General features: G+C 40.1%; 1 protein-coding gene across 12 annotated transcripts in view, besides 13 other annotated features; it reads right to left on the reverse strand.

Annotated features, from left to right (window-relative positions):
• NUP98 (nucleoporin 98 and 96 precursor) overlaps positions 1–16,847 on the reverse strand; it is a 122,545-nt gene that overhangs the window by 55,089 nt on the left and 50,609 nt on the right. For 11 of the 12 annotated variants that reach the window (NR_157591.1, NR_157590.2, NR_157589.2 and 8 more), the window contains exons 12-14: positions 14,411–14,551; positions 5,093–5,226; positions 1,293–1,480 (exon numbers count right to left, since the gene is read on the reverse strand). Coding sequence is in view for 9 of the 12 variants with exons in the window: in NM_001365128.2 (NP_001352057.1) it covers positions 1,293–1,480; positions 5,093–5,226; positions 14,411–14,551 (463 nt within the window). In the remaining 3 variants the exon portion in view is untranslated. The remainder of the gene's footprint in view (positions 1–1,292; positions 1,481–5,092; positions 5,227–14,410; positions 14,552–16,847) is intronic. The other variant, NM_001365129.2, reaches the window with a different exon arrangement.
• Positions 1,589–1,590: a mitotic recombination region, noted in NCBI's record as "NUP98 intron 13 (HHEX) recombination sub-region within the nucleoporin 98kDa recombination region recombines with the NUP98-HHEX recombination region". NCBI's record gives the evidence for it as "EXISTENCE:nucleotide sequencing assay evidence [ECO:0000219][PMID:18388181]".
• Positions 1,589–16,847: part of a biological region, named in NCBI's record as "nucleoporin 98kDa recombination region", that runs on past the window's edge. NCBI's record gives its function as "recombination_partner: LOC106865368 | LOC106992256 | LOC107105350 | LOC107126281 | LOC107126288 | LOC107126359 | LOC107133509 | LOC107133517 | LOC107133518 | LOC107195252 | LOC107197952".
• Positions 1,632–3,452: a mitotic recombination region, noted in NCBI's record as "NUP98 intron 13 (TOP1) recombination sub-region within the nucleoporin 98kDa recombination region recombines with the NUP98-TOP1 recombination region". NCBI's record gives the evidence for it as "EXISTENCE:nucleotide sequencing assay evidence [ECO:0000219][PMID:12874791, PMID:10959088, PMID:11979559]".
• Positions 2,434–2,438: a mitotic recombination region, noted in NCBI's record as "NUP98 intron 13 (IQCG) recombination sub-region within the nucleoporin 98kDa recombination region recombines with the NUP98-IQCG recombination region". NCBI's record gives the evidence for it as "EXISTENCE:nucleotide sequencing assay evidence [ECO:0000219][PMID:18084320]".
• Positions 3,895–3,896: a mitotic recombination region, noted in NCBI's record as "NUP98 intron 13 (TOP2B) recombination sub-region within the nucleoporin 98kDa recombination region recombines with the NUP98-TOP2B recombination region". NCBI's record gives the evidence for it as "EXISTENCE:nucleotide sequencing assay evidence [ECO:0000219][PMID:16166424]".
• Positions 5,768–5,968: a silencer, noted in NCBI's record as "peak1178 fragment used in MPRA reporter construct". NCBI's record gives its function as "represses an SCP1 promoter by STARR-seq MPRAs in K562 erythroleukemia cells {active_cell/tissue: K562}" and the evidence as "EXISTENCE:reporter gene assay evidence [ECO:0000049][PMID:32103011]".
• Positions 9,756–14,082: a mitotic recombination region, noted in NCBI's record as "NUP98 intron 12 (HOXC11 exon) recombination sub-region within the nucleoporin 98kDa recombination region recombines with the HOXC11 exon 1 recombination sub-region within the NUP98-HOXC11 recombination region". NCBI's record gives the evidence for it as "EXISTENCE:nucleotide sequencing assay evidence [ECO:0000219][PMID:12183408]".
• Positions 9,756–14,410: a mitotic recombination region, noted in NCBI's record as "NUP98 intron 12 (HOXC11 intron) recombination sub-region within the nucleoporin 98kDa recombination region recombines with the HOXC11 intron 1 recombination sub-region within the NUP98-HOXC11 recombination region". NCBI's record gives the evidence for it as "EXISTENCE:Southern hybridization evidence [ECO:0000078][PMID:12970787]".
• Positions 11,214–13,751: a mitotic recombination region, noted in NCBI's record as "NUP98 intron 12 (HOXA11 intron) recombination sub-region within the nucleoporin 98kDa recombination region recombines with the NUP98-HOXA11 recombination region". NCBI's record gives the evidence for it as "EXISTENCE:Southern hybridization evidence [ECO:0000078][PMID:11830496]".
• Positions 11,550–11,601: a mitotic recombination region, noted in NCBI's record as "NUP98 intron 12 (HOXD13) recombination sub-region within the nucleoporin 98kDa recombination region recombines with the NUP98-HOXD13 recombination region". NCBI's record gives the evidence for it as "EXISTENCE:nucleotide sequencing assay evidence [ECO:0000219][PMID:10995009]".
• Positions 12,323–14,410: a mitotic recombination region, noted in NCBI's record as "NUP98 intron 12 (HOXA9 and DDX10) recombination sub-region within the nucleoporin 98kDa recombination region recombines with the NUP98-HOXA9 and NUP98-DDX10 recombination regions". NCBI's record gives the evidence for it as "EXISTENCE:Southern hybridization evidence [ECO:0000078][PMID:8563753]".
• Positions 13,747–16,847: part of a mitotic recombination region, noted in NCBI's record as "NUP98 (NSD3) recombination sub-region within the nucleoporin 98kDa recombination region recombines with the NUP98-NSD3 recombination region", that runs on past the window's edge. NCBI's record gives the evidence for it as "EXISTENCE:nucleotide sequencing assay evidence [ECO:0000219][PMID:11986249]" and "EXISTENCE:Southern hybridization evidence [ECO:0000078][PMID:19380029]".
• Positions 15,148–15,348: a silencer, noted in NCBI's record as "peak1179 fragment used in MPRA reporter construct". NCBI's record gives its function as "represses an SCP1 promoter by STARR-seq MPRAs in K562 erythroleukemia cells {active_cell/tissue: K562}" and the evidence as "EXISTENCE:reporter gene assay evidence [ECO:0000049][PMID:32103011]".

Below are 16,847 nucleotides of genomic sequence, written 5' to 3' on the forward strand. Positions count from 1 at the left end.
GTGGCACGTGCCTGTAGTCCCAGCTACTTGGGAAGCTGAGGAAGAAGAATCGCTTGAACCTAGGAGATGGAGGTTGCAGTGAGCCGAGATCGTGCCACTGCACTCCAGCCTGGGTAACAGAGCGACTGTATCAAAAAAATAAATAAATAAAATGCTAGGACAGACATAAATAATACACAGTCCCTGTCTTCAAAATAATTTACTGATATTCTAAGAAACACATAAAATTAGACTTTCCATCTTTGGTGAAGCAGTTACATTTTCTTTTTTTTTTTGGAGGCCGAGTCTCACTCTGTCACCCAGGCTGGAGTACAGTGGTGGGATCCCAGCTCACTGCAACCTCTGCCTCCCCAGTTCAAGAGATTCTCCTGCCTCAGCCTCCCAAGCAGCTGGGATTACAGAATTACAGACGCACGCAGCCATGCCCAGCTAATTTTGTATATTCAGTAAAGACGGGGTTTCACCATGTTAGCCAGGCTGATCTCAAACTCCTGACCTCCAGTGATCCACCCACCTCGGCCAGCCAAAGTGCTGGGATTACAGGTGTGAGCCACCATGCCCGGCCGGATTACTGTATTTTTAGGGAAAGAAAGTTGTGTGTAATGTTTTTAACGTATCACTTGAGCTGCGGAGGTTGAGGTTGCAGTGAGCAGTAATTGCACCACTGCATTCCAGCCTGGGTGACAGAGTGAGACCTGAACTTTTAAAAGCAACAACAAAAAAACCTAATTATTCAAAAACAAAACAAAATCATGCATATGTAAAATAAGAGGCATATTTATCAAAATATTTTTATGCTAACTATGAGTTATCCCTGGGAGTGATCGGGTGACTTTTATTCTTCTTTGTGATGTTCTGTATTTTTCAAATTATAAAAAAGTGGACTGGCTGGGCACAGCGGCTCACACCTGTAATCCCAGCACTTTGGGAGGCCAGGCGGCAGATCATATGCAGTCAGGGGTTCAAGACCAGCCTGGCCAACATTGTGAAACCCCATTTCTACTAAAAATACAAAATTAGCTGGGCGTGATGGCACACGCCTGTAATCCCAGCTACTCAGGAGGCTGAAGCAAGAGAATCGTTTGAACCTGGGAGGCAAAGGTTGCAGTGAGCAAAGATCATGCCATTGCACTCCAGCCTGGGTGACAGAGTAAGACTCTGTCTCAAAAACAAAAACAAAAACAAAGTGGACTGTATCACATCTATAATATATTTAAATAATTGTATATTATTTCATATTTAGTTTATATCAGTATTTTACACTTAATTTCTGTTAACAAAAATAAACTCACTTGGGCATGAATGCTCCATTGGCTAGGGATGGTTCATCGTCATCCAGCCCATCAAAGAGATGTGACTTGGCTGTGCCTGTTGTTTGTAAAGCCTTTGGCCGGACTCTAGTGGCAGGGCGGGGTGTCAGTTTATAATGAGTAGGTGTAGTAAGAGCCTTCTGGGCTGCTGGATTTGTTGGTTTCAATCTCTGAAAAACAAAAGCATCAAGGAAATTTTTGGTTTACTTTAAATGTACTGCACTGGCCTTAAAAATCACAAGACCAGATTTCAATCCTCATCTTTGTCATTCACCTGCTAGATACCTGTTGAAGTCTCTGTTCCCATAAAACAAGGATGTTAACACCCAACTTTGTACATGTTGAGTATCCCTCATCCAAAATGCTTGGGTCCAGAAGTATTTTGGATTTTTTTGTATTTTGAAATATTTGCATTATACTTACCAGTTGAGTATCCCAAATGTGAAAATCCAAAATCCAAAATGTCCCAATGAGCATTTCTTTTGAATGTCATGTCAGTGCAAAGTTTTGGATTTTGGAGCATTTTGGATTTTCAATTTTTGGATTTGGGAGGCATTATCTGTGTGTATGTGTGAATACTAACCGAACTGTCTTTATTGTTCTAGAACTGATTTTTACTCATCTTTCCAGCCCCCATTTAAAATTATTTGTCTGACATCTTTTAAAATGTAATCAAGATAATGAATCTGTTAGCTGGACAGTGGAAGCGTGCACCTGTAATCCCAGCTACTGGGGAGGCTAAGGCATGGGAATCGCTTGAACCCAGGAGGCGGAGGTTGCAGTAAGCCGAGATCGCACCACTGCACTCCAGCCTGGGTGACAGAGCGAGACTCTTTCCCCAAAAAAATCCAAAGATGATGAATCTGAAAAAAGTTCTGTAAATTAAAATGTACTAACACAACATATTAATATATCTTGTCCATTCTCTTCATCCTATGAGAGTTTAGCTTGCAATCATTCTGCTTTGAAAAACAGTATTTATGTTCATTTGATGAAAACATGATACCAAAAAAATCCTAAGCCATAGACATTACTTTTCAATTAAACCCAAAATCTTATACTTCAAGAAAAACTGAGATTCTGTCATGAATTAATATTCAACTTCTATGTAATGCAAGTTGCTCTGGGGAAAAAAAAGGCAGATACTAGCTTGTATTTATCCATCTTTTAGTAAACATTAATAATTAAACATTAAGTCAAACTCTGGGTACCAGAAATAAAGTTACTTCCTCTGATTACTGAGAAAACTACAAGTTAGTGGAGGACACACAACTAAATTTCAGGGTGCTTCAGATGGCACCTCTACAACATCCTGAGGATGTTCTATATTTGTTTTCCTAACAGCATAAATGAGATTACATAACCACTTCAAATAACAATGTCTAGCATATCTAGTCTGTCAGAATTTATTCTTCTCTTCCCAGTGCAAGCTGTTTACACTTAACAATGAATCTTTGTTATTCCCAGATTGTTGTGATCTTTCACAATTCTTTGGCTGGAATGCTTGACCTAGACTCGCCAAGCCCTACATATCCATACAAAAAAGTTAAATGTTCCTCTTCTGAAAACAAAGCCTTATCAAATTCATCCAAGCATCTATGATCTTTTCACTAGTATATTTTAAATTTTGTATTAAGATAAACCTCATGTGACATAGAATTCACCGTTTTAACGCATCTACTTCAATAGTTTTTAGTATATTTACAAGGTTGTGCAACCATCACCACTATCTGATTCCTGAAAACTTTGATGACTTCAAAAAGAAACTCAGTTCCTCTCAATTTCTTCCCTCTTCCCTTTGCAACTATGAAGCTGCTTTCTTTCTTATGATTTGCCTATTCTGGGTATATCATACAAATGAAATCATGTGACTTTTTGTGTCTGGCTCCTTTCACTTAACGTTTTCTTTCTTTTTGTTTTGAGACGGAGTTTCGCTCTTGTCATCTGGGCTGGAGTGCAATGGTGCGATCTCAGCTCACTGCAATCTCCACCTCCCAGGTTCAAGTGATTCGCCTGCCTCAGCCTCACGAATAGCTGGGATTATGGGCACGCACCACCATGCCTGGCTAATTTTTTTTTATTTAGTATAGATGGGGTTTCACCATGTTGGTCAGGCTGGTCTTGAACTCCTGAACTCAGGTGATCTCCCCACCTCGGCCTCCCAAAGTGCTGGGATTAAAGGCATGAGCCACCATGCCCACTGTGCCCGGCCTTCACTTATGTTTTCAAGGTTTCATCTATGTTATAGCATGTATCAGTACTTTACTCCTATTTATGGCTAAATGATATTCCATTATAGACTTATAAAACATTTTGTTTATCCATTCGTCATTGATAGACACTCTTCTATTACCACATACACTCTACTGAACCAGTGTAAACTTAAGTGCTTGTATGTCTGATGTTTGTCACTGGATAGCAACCTTAATAAATTCTTGTTTATTTTCATTTTGTATCCTCAGCACTTAACAACACAATGCCTTGCACATATTCAGCTACCTAAAATTAGGCTGCATAAATAATTGTCTAATCATTTACACATCACTTTAAAAGGTACTTTCATATTCATATCTTGCTTCTAGTATCTAGTTTACAGGATTAAATTTAAGAACATAGTAAGATCCCATTTCTCTTTTTTTTTTTTGAGACGAAGTTTCGCTCTTGTTGCCCAGGCTGGAGTGCAATGGCGCAATCTCGGCTCACTGCAACCTCTGCCTCCCAGGTACAAGCAATTCTCCTGCCTCAGCCTCCCAAGTAGCTGTGATTACAGGTGCCCACCACCATGCCCAGCTAATTTTTGTATATTTCATAGAGACGGGGTTTCACCGTGTTGACCAGGCTGGTCGTGAACTGAACTCAGGTGATCCACCCGCCTCGGACTCCCAGAGTGCTAGGATTACAGGCCTGAGCCACTGCGCCGGGCAGATCCCATTTCTTAAAACAACAAAACAAAACAACAAAATAAAAAGCTGAGGGATACATGTAATCACATAAGTGACTGAATAGTAGTTTCTGTATATTGAGCAATTTACTATGATCCTGGTATGCATGATCTCATTTAGCCCTCAACATTGAACACTATTACTCTTCCCATTTTACAGAAGAAACAAATTTAGGGAGGCAAAATGACTTTCTCATTTTCCAATGTCTCACAGATTATAAGCGGTAAAACAAGGATCAAACAGACCAAAGACTACACTTTTAACACCATGTGAGTAAAAGATCATGTTTTTACACTAGAGTTATAAGAGATTAAAGACAAAGCTATGTAAAAATCAAGAGGTTAAGATTTTGGTTATGCCACTTAAGAGCATTATGATTTGAGGAAAGTCAGCCTCTCTAAGCCTTAGTTTGCTTAATTATAAAATGAGAATAGGGCTGGGCATGGTGGCTTACACCTGTAATCCCAGCACGTTGGGAGACCGAGGCGGGAGGATTCCTTCCAGGAGTTCGATACTAGCAAGACATCATCTCAAAAAGAAAAGAAAAAAACTTAAAAAAAGTTGTTTTAATTAAAAATGAGAACATTAATATCTGCCTTATTTCAGGACTGTTGAAAACCCTCAGCATTGATCTTCAGTGTAGTGGTCATTTCACTGTCCCAACACCTTCCAGATACAGCAAAAATAATTTACTCCCGGCTGAGTGAAATAATATCTTAAAAAATTAATTACACCTAGCTTTGCTTAATCCCTTAATATATACAGGCAAAAAATTACATTCTGCACATTCAGTTTCTCTTTCTTTGATATGATATTTTACAGAAGTATCCTTAAATTTACCTCTTCCTTCTTCTTAGGGTCTGACATCGGATTCCGGAAGAGAGGAGAGTCTCCAAAAGGTGAGTATGTTAGACTATTGATGTGCTGCTGGAGAACAGCCTGCTGGGCAGCAGAAGCATTTGGATCTGTCAAAGCTTTTAAAAAAAAAAAAAGAAAACAAAATATATATATATATATAAATGCAAGGATACAATGCATTTGTAACACAGAGCTCGGTATTCTTTTTGAAGAAGTGGTCTTCAAAATGCTCAGATCAATGGTATCATTGGGGCAGAATGTGTGTAGAGCAAACTGTAAAGAAAATCAAGAATCAAATAAGCTAATAGGTCAAATTTAGGAAGAGACATTTCATAAGATACAATACTCATATAAATTCACTTACACAGTGTTCACTGTCACTACTAATCAAAGAAAGGAAAATTTAAACAACCCTGATGAAATATTTTATGCATACCTATCACTGAAATAGCTGCATAAAAAGCCATAGTCTTTGACTTCTAGAAACATTATAGACTGGTTTGTCTAAAGGAAATAATACGACAGTATACAGGGCAAGTAGTGTGTGTGTGTGTGTGTGTGTGTGTGTGTGTGTGTGTGTGTAATTGTCTAAAGGAAATAATATGACAGTATACAGGGCAAATACTGTGTGTGTGTGTGTGCGTGCGTGTATGTAATTGTCCAAAGGAAATAATATGACAATATACAACAGGACAAGTACTGTGTGTTTGTGCGTGTACACACACACACACACACCCAGGCTGGAGTGTAGTGGCATGATCTTGGCTTGCTGCAACCTCTGCCTCCAGGCTCAAGTGATCCTCTAACCTCAGACTCCCAAGTAGCTGGGACTACAGGGGTGAGTCACCACACCAACAACAGCTAATTTTGTGTGTGTGTGTGTGTGTGTGTTTTGTTTTTTTTTTCAGAGATGGGGTTTCGCCATGTTGCCCAGGCTGGTCTTGAACTCCTGAAATTGAACTATCTGCCCACCTTGGCCTCCCAAAATGCCAGGATTACAGGAGTCAGCCACCATGCCTGGCCTCTATTTTTTAACCTCATAATTTTAATCATGAAAATTTAACTCGAACTAGAAAGAAAATAAATTCCTAAGCATTCACTGCATAGTATATATACAGTCAAGATATGGAAACAACCTACGTGTCCAATATTAAGTTAATAGTTGTAGGCGGGGTGCAGTGGCTCATGCCTGTAATCCCAGCACTGGGAGGTCGTGGCGAGCAGATCACTTGAGGTGAGGAGTTTGAGACCAACCTGGCCAATACAGTGAAACCCCACCTCTACTAAAAATACAAAAAATTAGCTGGGCGTGGGGGCGCACACCTATAACCCCAGCTGGAACCCAGGAAGTGGAGGTTTCAGTGAGCCGAGATCGCGCCACTGCACTCCAGCCTGGGTGAAAGAGCGAGACTCTGCCTCAAACAAACAAACAAAAAAGTTGTAAACATCATGACACATCAACATAGGTTATGTAGTTATTAAAAATAATAATTTGTTTCATTGTGGAAATATGAAATTATCTTTAAGTAAAATTTCCAGAATAAAAATATTATGTACATTAAGGCTACAGAGGAAGGCAGCATACAAACAAAAATGTGGTTTTTTCTTTTCCCCCAAATCCAGGTGTCTTCCTGAAGAAAATGCTTAGGCTATCCTTATAAGTTTATTATTTACATTTATTTAACATTCACATAATATAAACTGAAAGAAAAAAGAAATCACTAAGCCTAATTTTTTCTCAAAGTGTAAGAACATCTGTTATCAATTGCAGAGAATTTAGGGAACAGACATAAGTAACAATGAAGACTATTCATGATCTACCATTGTACCAAGTAAAACATTAAGAAAAAAGCAAAACCACTACAGTATACCCTGACTGAAGAAGAAACCTCTTTGCAAGATAAAATCTCTTTCCAAAAATACTGATCAAAACCCAAAACATAATAAAGTCATTTTACAGACAAAAATACTACCTTTTTCCCTTATAAACATTTACAAATAAAGTTACTGCCAAAATATAATACAATAATCCACAGTAAAGGAGTGACATAAAACTTTCTGAAAAGTCTCACAATGTTGTGGGGAGTGGGTGGAGAACAAAAGCAGTAATAACAAAAAAAAAAAAAAAAAAAAGAGGCTGGGCGTGGTGGCTCATGCCTGTAATCCCAGCACTTTGGGAGGCCGAGGCAGGCGGATCACAAGGTCAGGAGATCGAGACTATCCTGGCTAACATGGTGAAACCCTGTCTCTACTAACAAAATAGAAAAAATTAGCCAGGCATGGTGGTGGGCACCTGTAGTCCCAGCTACTCCGGAGGCTGAGGCAGGAGAATGGCGTGAACCCAGGATACAGAGCTGGCAGTGAGCCAAGGTCGTGCCACTTCACTCTAGCCTAGGCGACAGAGCGAGATTCCGTCTCAAAAACAAACAAACAAACAAAAACAGAACAGGCTGCTATAGCTAAATTAATGAAAAAGAAGAGTCAAAGGTTTCTTAAAATCGATGTATTCAATAAATACTAAAACACCGTACATTCATGTTGATATTTAACTAGACAGGACAAGTTTGCTCAGGATCTCAAACCAAGAGATGTCAATTTTAAGAGCACAGAGTAAATCATCTGTATTCAGAAAGTTCCTAAATCCAATTTAAGAGCAAAAAATAAAGAAAAGTTTTTTTTTTTTTGGTACACAGTACTACAGATTAACAGCATACTGCTATTTTGGGGACTATGCAAGGAGACTCAAGAAAAACTTTAGAGAACTCCAAACCTCACTGGTCATTTTGTTACTGGACAGGCAATTACTCATTTAGAAAACTGACCTGTCTTAGTTGATCCCATCGTTTAACAAGTACAAATCATTCTACCTGGGCGTTCTCAAAAAAAAAAAAAAAAAAAACCAAAGACTTCCTTTCACAAATCCAAACACAAGAAAGTGCATGAGCATGATTTTATATCTGTATGAATAAATATAAACTTTGTGTTAACTGTAGTATTTAAAGACACAGGTAAGAGAGTATCTTGATAGATTAGCAAAAACAAGAAAACAAACAAGCACTAGTTAAGCAACTACTGGTATTACATTCAATCTTGGTCAAAATAATTTGAAAACTTTCCAAAGAACAAATTCCAAAGAAATTTCAAAATAAAAGATTCCAAAAAACTAAATCATAACCAAATGATTAAAGGGATAGGGAAAAGTACAAAAACCAAGTCTTCTGATGAAACACAAGAATCTGATGATACTTTATCCAGAAGAAAGTCAGTGGGTTACCACAAATATACTACAGCAAGGCATGGTGGCTCATGCCAGTAATCCCAGCACTTTGGGAAGCTGAGCAAGCAGATTACTTCAGGTCAGGACTTCAAGAATAGCCTGGCCAAAATGGTGAACCTCTATCTCTACTAAAAAATACAAGAATTAGCCGGGCATGGTGACACATACCTGTAGTCCCAGCTACGCAGGAGGCTGAGACAGGAGAATTGTCTGAACCCAGAGGCAGAGGCTGCAGTGAGCCAAGATGGTGCCACAGCACTCCAGCCTGGGTGACAGAGTAAGACTCCTCTCAAAAAAAAAAAAAAAAAAAAAAGGAAAGAAAGAAAAGAAACCATACATACTAGACTGGTTTTGCTTAGCTTTAGGAAATAAAAGTAGAACCACTGGGTGGAAACTCTATGGAGGAAGGATTTGGTTTCCACACAACCAGAACAGAAGAACAGACTGTACTGCCTGTAAGGAAGCCACCATACCTGAGGTTTTTTTAAGACAAGGCACACTCACATAGTTCTAAAGTACCTTCAACTAAGATTCCGTGGTATAAAGATGTACATTCTAAAAGTAAATACAATTACCTTTAAATGGGCAGTAATGTTAAGGCACACAAATTTAATATTAACTAAATTCTTGTGTCAGGAACTTTGGAAAAAGAGATGGATTATTAAAAACCAGTCAAAAAGCTATACAAGTAAAAATGGCATATTACAATAATTTATGCTACCACCTTCTACTAAAACCAATAAAAAATGAGAAAAAAATAAAATTAAAACAATTTTTTTTTTGAGACAGAGTCTTGCTGTGTCACTCAGGCTGGAGCGCAGTAGCGCGATCTCGGCTCACTGCAACCTCTGCCTCCCAGACTAGGCAATCCTCCTGCCTCGGCCTTGCGAGTAGGTGGGATTACAGGTGCCTGCCGCCACGCCCGGCTAATTTTTGTATTTTTAGTAGAGACGGGGTTTCACCATGTTGGCCAGGATGGTCGAACTCCTGACCTCAGGTGATCCACCCGCCTCGGCCTCCCAAAGTGCTGAGATTACAGGCGTGAGGCACCGCACCAGGCCTATTTTTAATGATAAAGCTAAGTATAAAATCCGCACAGAGATCAATGAAAACTCGAATTCACCTCCGCTCTCTCCAAGACCTTATTAAATCTTTGGCTAAAAAATATTAACATTTATATATATAAACCCACAATGACAAACAATGGGAAGGTGGCAAATGAACACATGAGAAAATCTAACAAATTTCTAGGGGAAAGATGTGGACAGAGGACTGATCAAGCAGGATACAGAAAACTATAGCTTAGAGTACACTCAAAAGCAGTTACAGCTGACCTTTGAACAACACAAGTTTGAACTGTGTGGATCCACTTATGTGTGGATTTCCTCCTCTGCCACCCCTGAGAGAGCAAGACCAACACCTTCCTCCACCTTATGATTTTCCTAATAATACATTCTTTTCTTTAGCTTACTTTATAGTAAGAATATAGTACGTACTACATATAATATACGTAATTTGTACTGTTTATGTTGTCAGTAAAGCTTGGGAATCAAAGATTATTTGCAAATTATCAACTGTGTGGGGGTCAGCACCCCTAACCCTCATGTTGTCCAAGGGTCTACTAGTATGATCAAATGACGCGTATCTACCTTGGAGAATCCCAGAAGTCTAGGGACTTCAGAATACCAGGTTTGATGAAGTAGAATTGAAAACAGGAAGAGGAAAGAATTAATGGAAAGTCTAAGCCAGGCGCGGTGGCTCACACCTGTAACCCCAGCACTTTGGGAGGCCGAAGCGAGAGGATTGCTTGAGGTCAGGAGTTCGTGACCAGCCTAGCCAATATGGTGAAACCCAATACCTACTAAAAATACAAAAATTAGCCGGGCGTGGTGACATGGGCCTGCAATCCCAGCTACTCAAGAGGCTGAGGAAAGAGAATCACTTGAACCTGGGAGGCGAAGGTTGCAGTGAGCCAAGATCAAGATCACACCACTACACTCCAGTCTTGGGGAGAGAGCAAGACTCTGTCTCAAAAAAAAAAAAAGAAATGAAGTTTATATAGAAAACTACATATTGCCATTCTCCTAATCACTGATGCTCAATACACAGGTCAAAGTATGCCTTTCTCTAAGTAAACACATAAAAAGGAGAAGGGCAACTACTGTGGTTACTGCAATCATCCCAGAGCTAAGAATCTGACATTCTAACATTTAGAGGACCCTCTGATAATAGCCGGTTTCTAGATTACTTACTCTAAAGTAAAACATACTGGGAAACAAGCCCTACTCACGTACAAAGAGTTGCCAGTGAGCTTTTAAATATAAATATATATATATATATTTTTTTTTTTGGAGACAGAGTCTCGCACTTTCGCCCAGGCTGGAGTGTAGCGGCGTGACGTCGGCTCGGTGCAACTTCCGCCTCCCAGGTTCAAGCGATTCTCCCGCCTCAGCCTCCAGAGTAGCTGGGATTACAGGCATGTGCCACCATACCTGGCTAGTTTTTCTATTTGTGGTAGACATCATGGGGTTTTGCCATGTTGGCCAGGCTGGTCTCGAACGCTTGACCTCAAGCAATCCGCCTGCCTCAGCCTCCCAAAGTGCTGGGATTACAGTCATGAGCCACCATGCCCAGCCTATTTTTAATCTTAAATGGGAATGAAAAGGACCACCAAGCACTAAAGTACTATCAAAACAAAAATCATCCTGAAAATCCAAGGAACAGAAGAACGCTAAAAAAATTTTATCCCAACTGAGTTTTAAGCAAAAAAACTGTATCTAAGAAACAGGTGTTGTGGTTAAAAAAAAACTTTCAGAGAACAAGAATGAATTCTTCCAAATTAAAAACAAAAATCTGGCAGGAGCGGTGGCTCATGCCTGTAATCCCAGCACTTTGGGAGGCTGAGGCAGGTGGATCACCTGAGGTCAGGAGTTCGAGACCAGCCTGGCCAACATGGTGAAACCCCATCTCTACTTAAACTACAAAAATTAGCTGGGCGTGTGGCAGGCACCTGTAATCCCAGCTATTTATGAGACTGAGGAAGGAGAATCGCTTCAATCCAGGAGGCGGATATAGAAGTGAGCCGAGATCGCGCCACTGCACTCCAGCTTGGGTGACAGTGCGAAACTCCGTCTCAAAAAAAAAGGAAATCCAAAAAGACTGAGAAGACAACAAAAAAATCTCCCAGAAAGCAGAAACACAGGTCAAAGACACAACTGTTAAGATAGAAAGGATCTAAGCAAAATGTAGTAAAATGTCAGGACAAAAGGACAATCCTAAATGCTTTTGAGGATAGAGGGCACAGGTCACAAGAAGCACAAGAGCATTAGACCATCAGTAATGGTTACTGCAAGAAGGAAGACAGTCGATGTTCTGAGAATAAATTATTTTCACACAAGTCCCTAATATTAAATTGTGTGGAATGAATGAAGGTATTTTCAGACCTCTAAGTAGTCAAAGGTTAGCCTTCATATTACACTTCACTTGAAGACACATTCCAGAAAATTCAGAAAATAAATAAAGAGAAAAACCCTATATGCAGGACATAGCAGTTCTCACTGAGCAGACTTGACGAGAATATCTTGAAGCAATGCTGAAGGCCTAGAGAATAATCAGAGTCCACACTGCTGCAGGAGGACAGAGGTAGCAGAGAATGAAGTAACTGGGGTAAATGAAATGTTCTGATACCATCCTTCAGAATTTGGAACAGTTCTATGGAAGTCAGTAAGCGGTGGTAATACCAGGGAAAATAGGAATCAGAAACTCCAAGGGGAAAAAATCTGGGCAGCACTACTTTCGTAAGTTGTAACAGAATCATTTGCAACAGTTCATTTGCAACTATTAAATTATTCTTCAAAGAACAGAAGACAGAAGACAGTAACAGTTACAGGACAGAAAATATTATCAATTTTATCAATATAAAAATAAAGATGGGGCCAGGTGCGGTGGCTCACACCTGTAATCTCAGAACTTTGGGAGGCCAAGGTAGATGGATCACCTGAGGTCAGGAGTTCGAGACCAGCCTGGCCAACATGGTAAAACCCCATCTGTACTAAAATTACAAAAATTATATGCGTGGTGGCAGGCACCTGTAATCCCAGCTACTCAGGAAGCTGAGGCAGCAGAATTGCTTGAACCTGGGAGGCAGAGGTTGCAGTGAGCCGAGATTACATCACTGCACTCCAGCCTAGGAGATAGAGCAAGACTCTGTCTCCAAAAAAAAAAAAAAAAAAAAGATGAGAAAAGAAATAAGGGTAATAAAAACATAGGGAAAGGTACTAATATCCTCATCTGACAAAGAAGACTCAAGAAATATTATCACCTTGTTGACAGAATAAGAAAAATATGTAAGTACGCAGCTTAAATTTGCAAAGGTTTCTCAAAACCTGACACATGTATCATGATAGTATGGGAGATTAATTTAGTGGTACAGAAAGATCTGACTATTCATTCTATTTATCTCAGTTACTCTGTTTATGCCAGGTGATAACCCGTTTTTCACTTCCTGTGGAATATAATTTTCTTTTCTTTTACTTTTTTCTTTTTTTTGTTGAGACGGACTCCCACTCTGTCACCCAGGTTGGAATGTAGTGGCGCGATCTCGGCTCACTGTAACCTCCACCTACCGGGTCCAAGCGATTCTCCTGCCTCAGCCTCCTGAGTACCTAGGATTACATGCACATGCCATCATGCCCAGCTAATTTTTGCATTTTTAATAGAGATGGGGTTTCACCGTGTTGGCCAGGCTGGTCTCAAACTCCTGACCTCGTGATCCACCCGCCTCGGCCTCCCAAAGTACTGGGATTATAGGCGTGGGCCACCAGGTCCAGCCCATAATTTTCTTTAAAAAGCTATTTAAATTAAAAAGTAAGTTAATTTCGGCCTGGCGTGGTGGCTCACGCCTCTAATCCCAGCACTTTGGGAGGCCGAGGCGGGCGGATCACGAGGTCAGGAGATCGAGACCATCCTGGCTAACATGGTGAAACCCCGTCTCTACTGAAAATACAAAAAAATTAGCTGGGCATGGTGGCGGGCACCTGTAGTCCCAGCTACTCAAGAGGCTGAGGCGGGAGAATGGCGTGAATCTGGGAGGTAGAGCTTGCAGTAAGCCAAGATCGCACCACTGTACTCCAGCCTGGGCAACAGAGTGAAACTCCATCTCAAAAAAAAAAAAAAAAAAAAGTAAGTTAATTTCCTTAAGTTCAAAATACATAATAAAGTGGTAGGTGGACCCTGGCAAAGTCTGGAAGGTGGTATTCAAATGAATGAAGTATGAAAAACACCTCAGGCTGTGCGTGGTGGCTTACACCTGTAATCCTTGCACTTTGGGAGGCCGAGGTGGGCGGATCACGAGGTCAGGAATTCGAGATCAGCCTGGCGAACATGGTGAAACCCTGTCTCTGCTCAAGATACCAAAAAAAAAAATTAGCTGGGTGTGGTGGCATGCACCTGTAATCCCAGCTACTCAGGAAGCTGAGGCAGAAGAATCACTTGAACCCAGGAGGTGGAGGTTGCAGTGAGCTGAGATCACATCACTGCACTCCAGCTTGGGCAACAGCGCGAGACTCCTTTTCAAAAAAATAAAATAAAGAAAAACACTTCAATAGATAAAACTAAATTTAGGAAATACAGTAAATTTAGTAAACATAATTATATTGGAAGAAGTAAATAAAGTAGAGGTGATACATGAGCTAAATTCTCATCTACCATAACAGGTTACATTTACTTAGATTTAATAAACCAAAACACAGTAATATAAGCACATTTAGCGATATGAACTAAATTATATATCAGATGAATTAAAAATAGTAACAAAAGTGGTTTCTTTGACAGAGGAGGCCTAGGAGCTGGGAAAGCAGAGTAGGCCAGGATCTATTAATAAGCCCTTCTTTACTACCCAATTGTTTAATGACATGCATGTATGCAATGCCTTGGTAGGAATGGGACAGGTGTAGGATGGAAAATCAGGTCAGCAAGTATTAGCAAAAAATTAAGAAAAGCCTTCTAAAGTGACTGACACTTACCTACTGGGGCCTGGGGGGCTCCAAAGCCCAAAGTGGCTGTCGTAGTATTAAATCCAGGGGCCCCAAAGGCTCCTGTACCAAGAGGCCCTCCAATCTTAGGTTGGTTGTTCCCAAACAAAGATGCCTGTCCAGCACCAAGAGCTACGGAGACAAGAGGAAAGAAAAAAGCACCACAGAAGATCCTTTCAATGTTGTGCCAGAGGTCAGTTACTTAAAAATATAATACATTTGGAAACTTCATAGTGACCACTCATTTCAACAAAGGGGTGAATACGGTAAGTGTTACTGCAGGTCAAGTACTGCGCTCAGTACATTATACACATCATAGGTAAAATACTTAAATCTCTCTGTGCTTCAGTTTCCTCAATTATAACATGAAGTAACACATAGCTTAGATAGTAATCCTAAAATTAAAATGGATAAACATTCATAAAGCATTTAGAAGACATCGGGAACATACTACATGCTCATCAAAATGTCTGGTGTAGAAACTATTATTCCCTTTTAACAGAGGAGAAAACTTAGGGTTTAGTAATTAGCACGATGTCACAATGTTATAAATGATAGAAATGGGGTTCAAACCTAGGTGTATTTGACAACCAGGGCTCTTAACTGCCTGCCACCTATAATAAAACAGGTTTCCAAAGAATTTTTAAAAATTAATTATTCTTAAAATTCAATACTTGCAAATCAAAATACTCAACTAACACAATCATGTCATCTTTCTTACAGACAACTATAGGAAAACTAAATCCAACATATCGTCTTTCACTAACACAACACTTTCAATTATACCATCTCATGAAAACTGGTTTATCTAGACAAACTTGTTTTACAAAAAGCTCAACGTCTTCTGGTGAGGTTACTAAACAGACTCAAATTTCAGCACGAACCAGAGTGGTTGGACTAAGAACTCATTTTCACCAGAGGAAAACCCATTGTAGAAACTGGTATTGTTGAATTTTGCTTAGGGACCTTGTTGCCGGTGGTGATTTTAGAAGTGTAAAACGGGGAAGAATATGGTGAATACAAGTTATTGGCATTATTAAAAAAAATTCCATTCAATTTCCCACCATATTTCCCCAAAATTATTGGCAATTGATAAGATTTAAAGTTCCATTAAAAAAAGAGAGAGAGAGACAGGATCTCATTATGTTACCCAGGCTGAGTCCTGGGCGAAAGTAATCCTCCCACCTTAGCCTCTGAGTAGCTGGAACTACAGGCATGCATCACCATGCATGGCTTCTGAAGTTCTTTTTAACATATCAACTGCATCTTGAAACAAATACCGTTTACCAGGAAAATCACTTCAAAGATATAATACTTGCAGGTCAAAAATATTGTATGGGAACTGCTTTGAGATCACAATCAAAAAAGAACAGAAAGTTTATACCAAGACAACCCACACAATATAAATCAGTAAGGATGACTACTGAACAAATTACTGACTGTCCAACCTCATTAAAAATAAGACAACAGGGCCGGGCACGGTGCCTCACGCCTGTAATCCCAGCACTTTGGGAGGTCGAGGCGGGTGGATCACCTAAAGTTAGGAGTTCAAGACCAGCCTGACCAACATGGAGAAACCCTGTCTCTACTAAAAATACAAAAATTAGCTGGGTGTGGTGGCACATGCCTGTAACCCAGCTACTCGGGAGGCTGAGGCAGGAGAATCGCTTGAACCCGGGAGGTGGAGGTTGCGGTGAGCCAAGATCACGCCATTGCACTCCAGCCTGGGCAACAAGAGCAAAACTTTATCTCAAAAAAAAAAAAAAAAAAAAAAAAAGACAGCTTTGGGACAAAGAATAAGACTTCTTTTAAAGTTCTAAACCATTAGTAATTAACGCAAGCTCCAAGAAATACTAAAATTATATTACTTCATCAAAGGAAATAGTTTACAGCACAAACTACAGAATTGTTTATTTTCTGGTAGTCTAATACCTCCTTGCCTCCAAACAAAAACTTAGGTGAAACTCAAATATATAAAATAGATGAAAAATTCTACTCTAAATGTGTATTGCCCTCACCTTTACAGCATCCCTGGACGATGACCCATGAATCATTCTAAAATCACTGTACTGTATTTCAGTAATCCACAGAAGAATTAAAAAAAGGTACTGTGGGCTGGGCGCGGTGGCTCACGCCTGTAATCCTAGCACTGTGGGAAGCCGAGGAGGGCAGATCACCTGAGGTCAGGAGTTCGAGACCAGCCTGACAAACATGGAGAAACCCTGTCTCCACTAAAAATACAAAATTAGCTGGTCGTGGTGGCACATGCCTGTAATCCCAGCTACTCGGGAAGGCTGAAGCAGGAGAATCGCTTGAGCCCGGGAGGCGGAGGTTGCAGTGAGCCGAGATCATGCCATTGCACTCCAGCCTGGGCAAGAAGAGCAAAACGCAGTCTCAAAAAAAAAAAAAAAAAGTACTGTGAGGTTTG

Source organism: Homo sapiens, chromosome 11 (genome assembly GCF_000001405.40).
Source record: "Homo sapiens chromosome 11, GRCh38.p14 Primary Assembly".
In the NCBI taxonomy this organism is placed as follows: domain Eukaryota; kingdom Metazoa; phylum Chordata; class Mammalia; order Primates; family Hominidae; genus Homo; species Homo sapiens.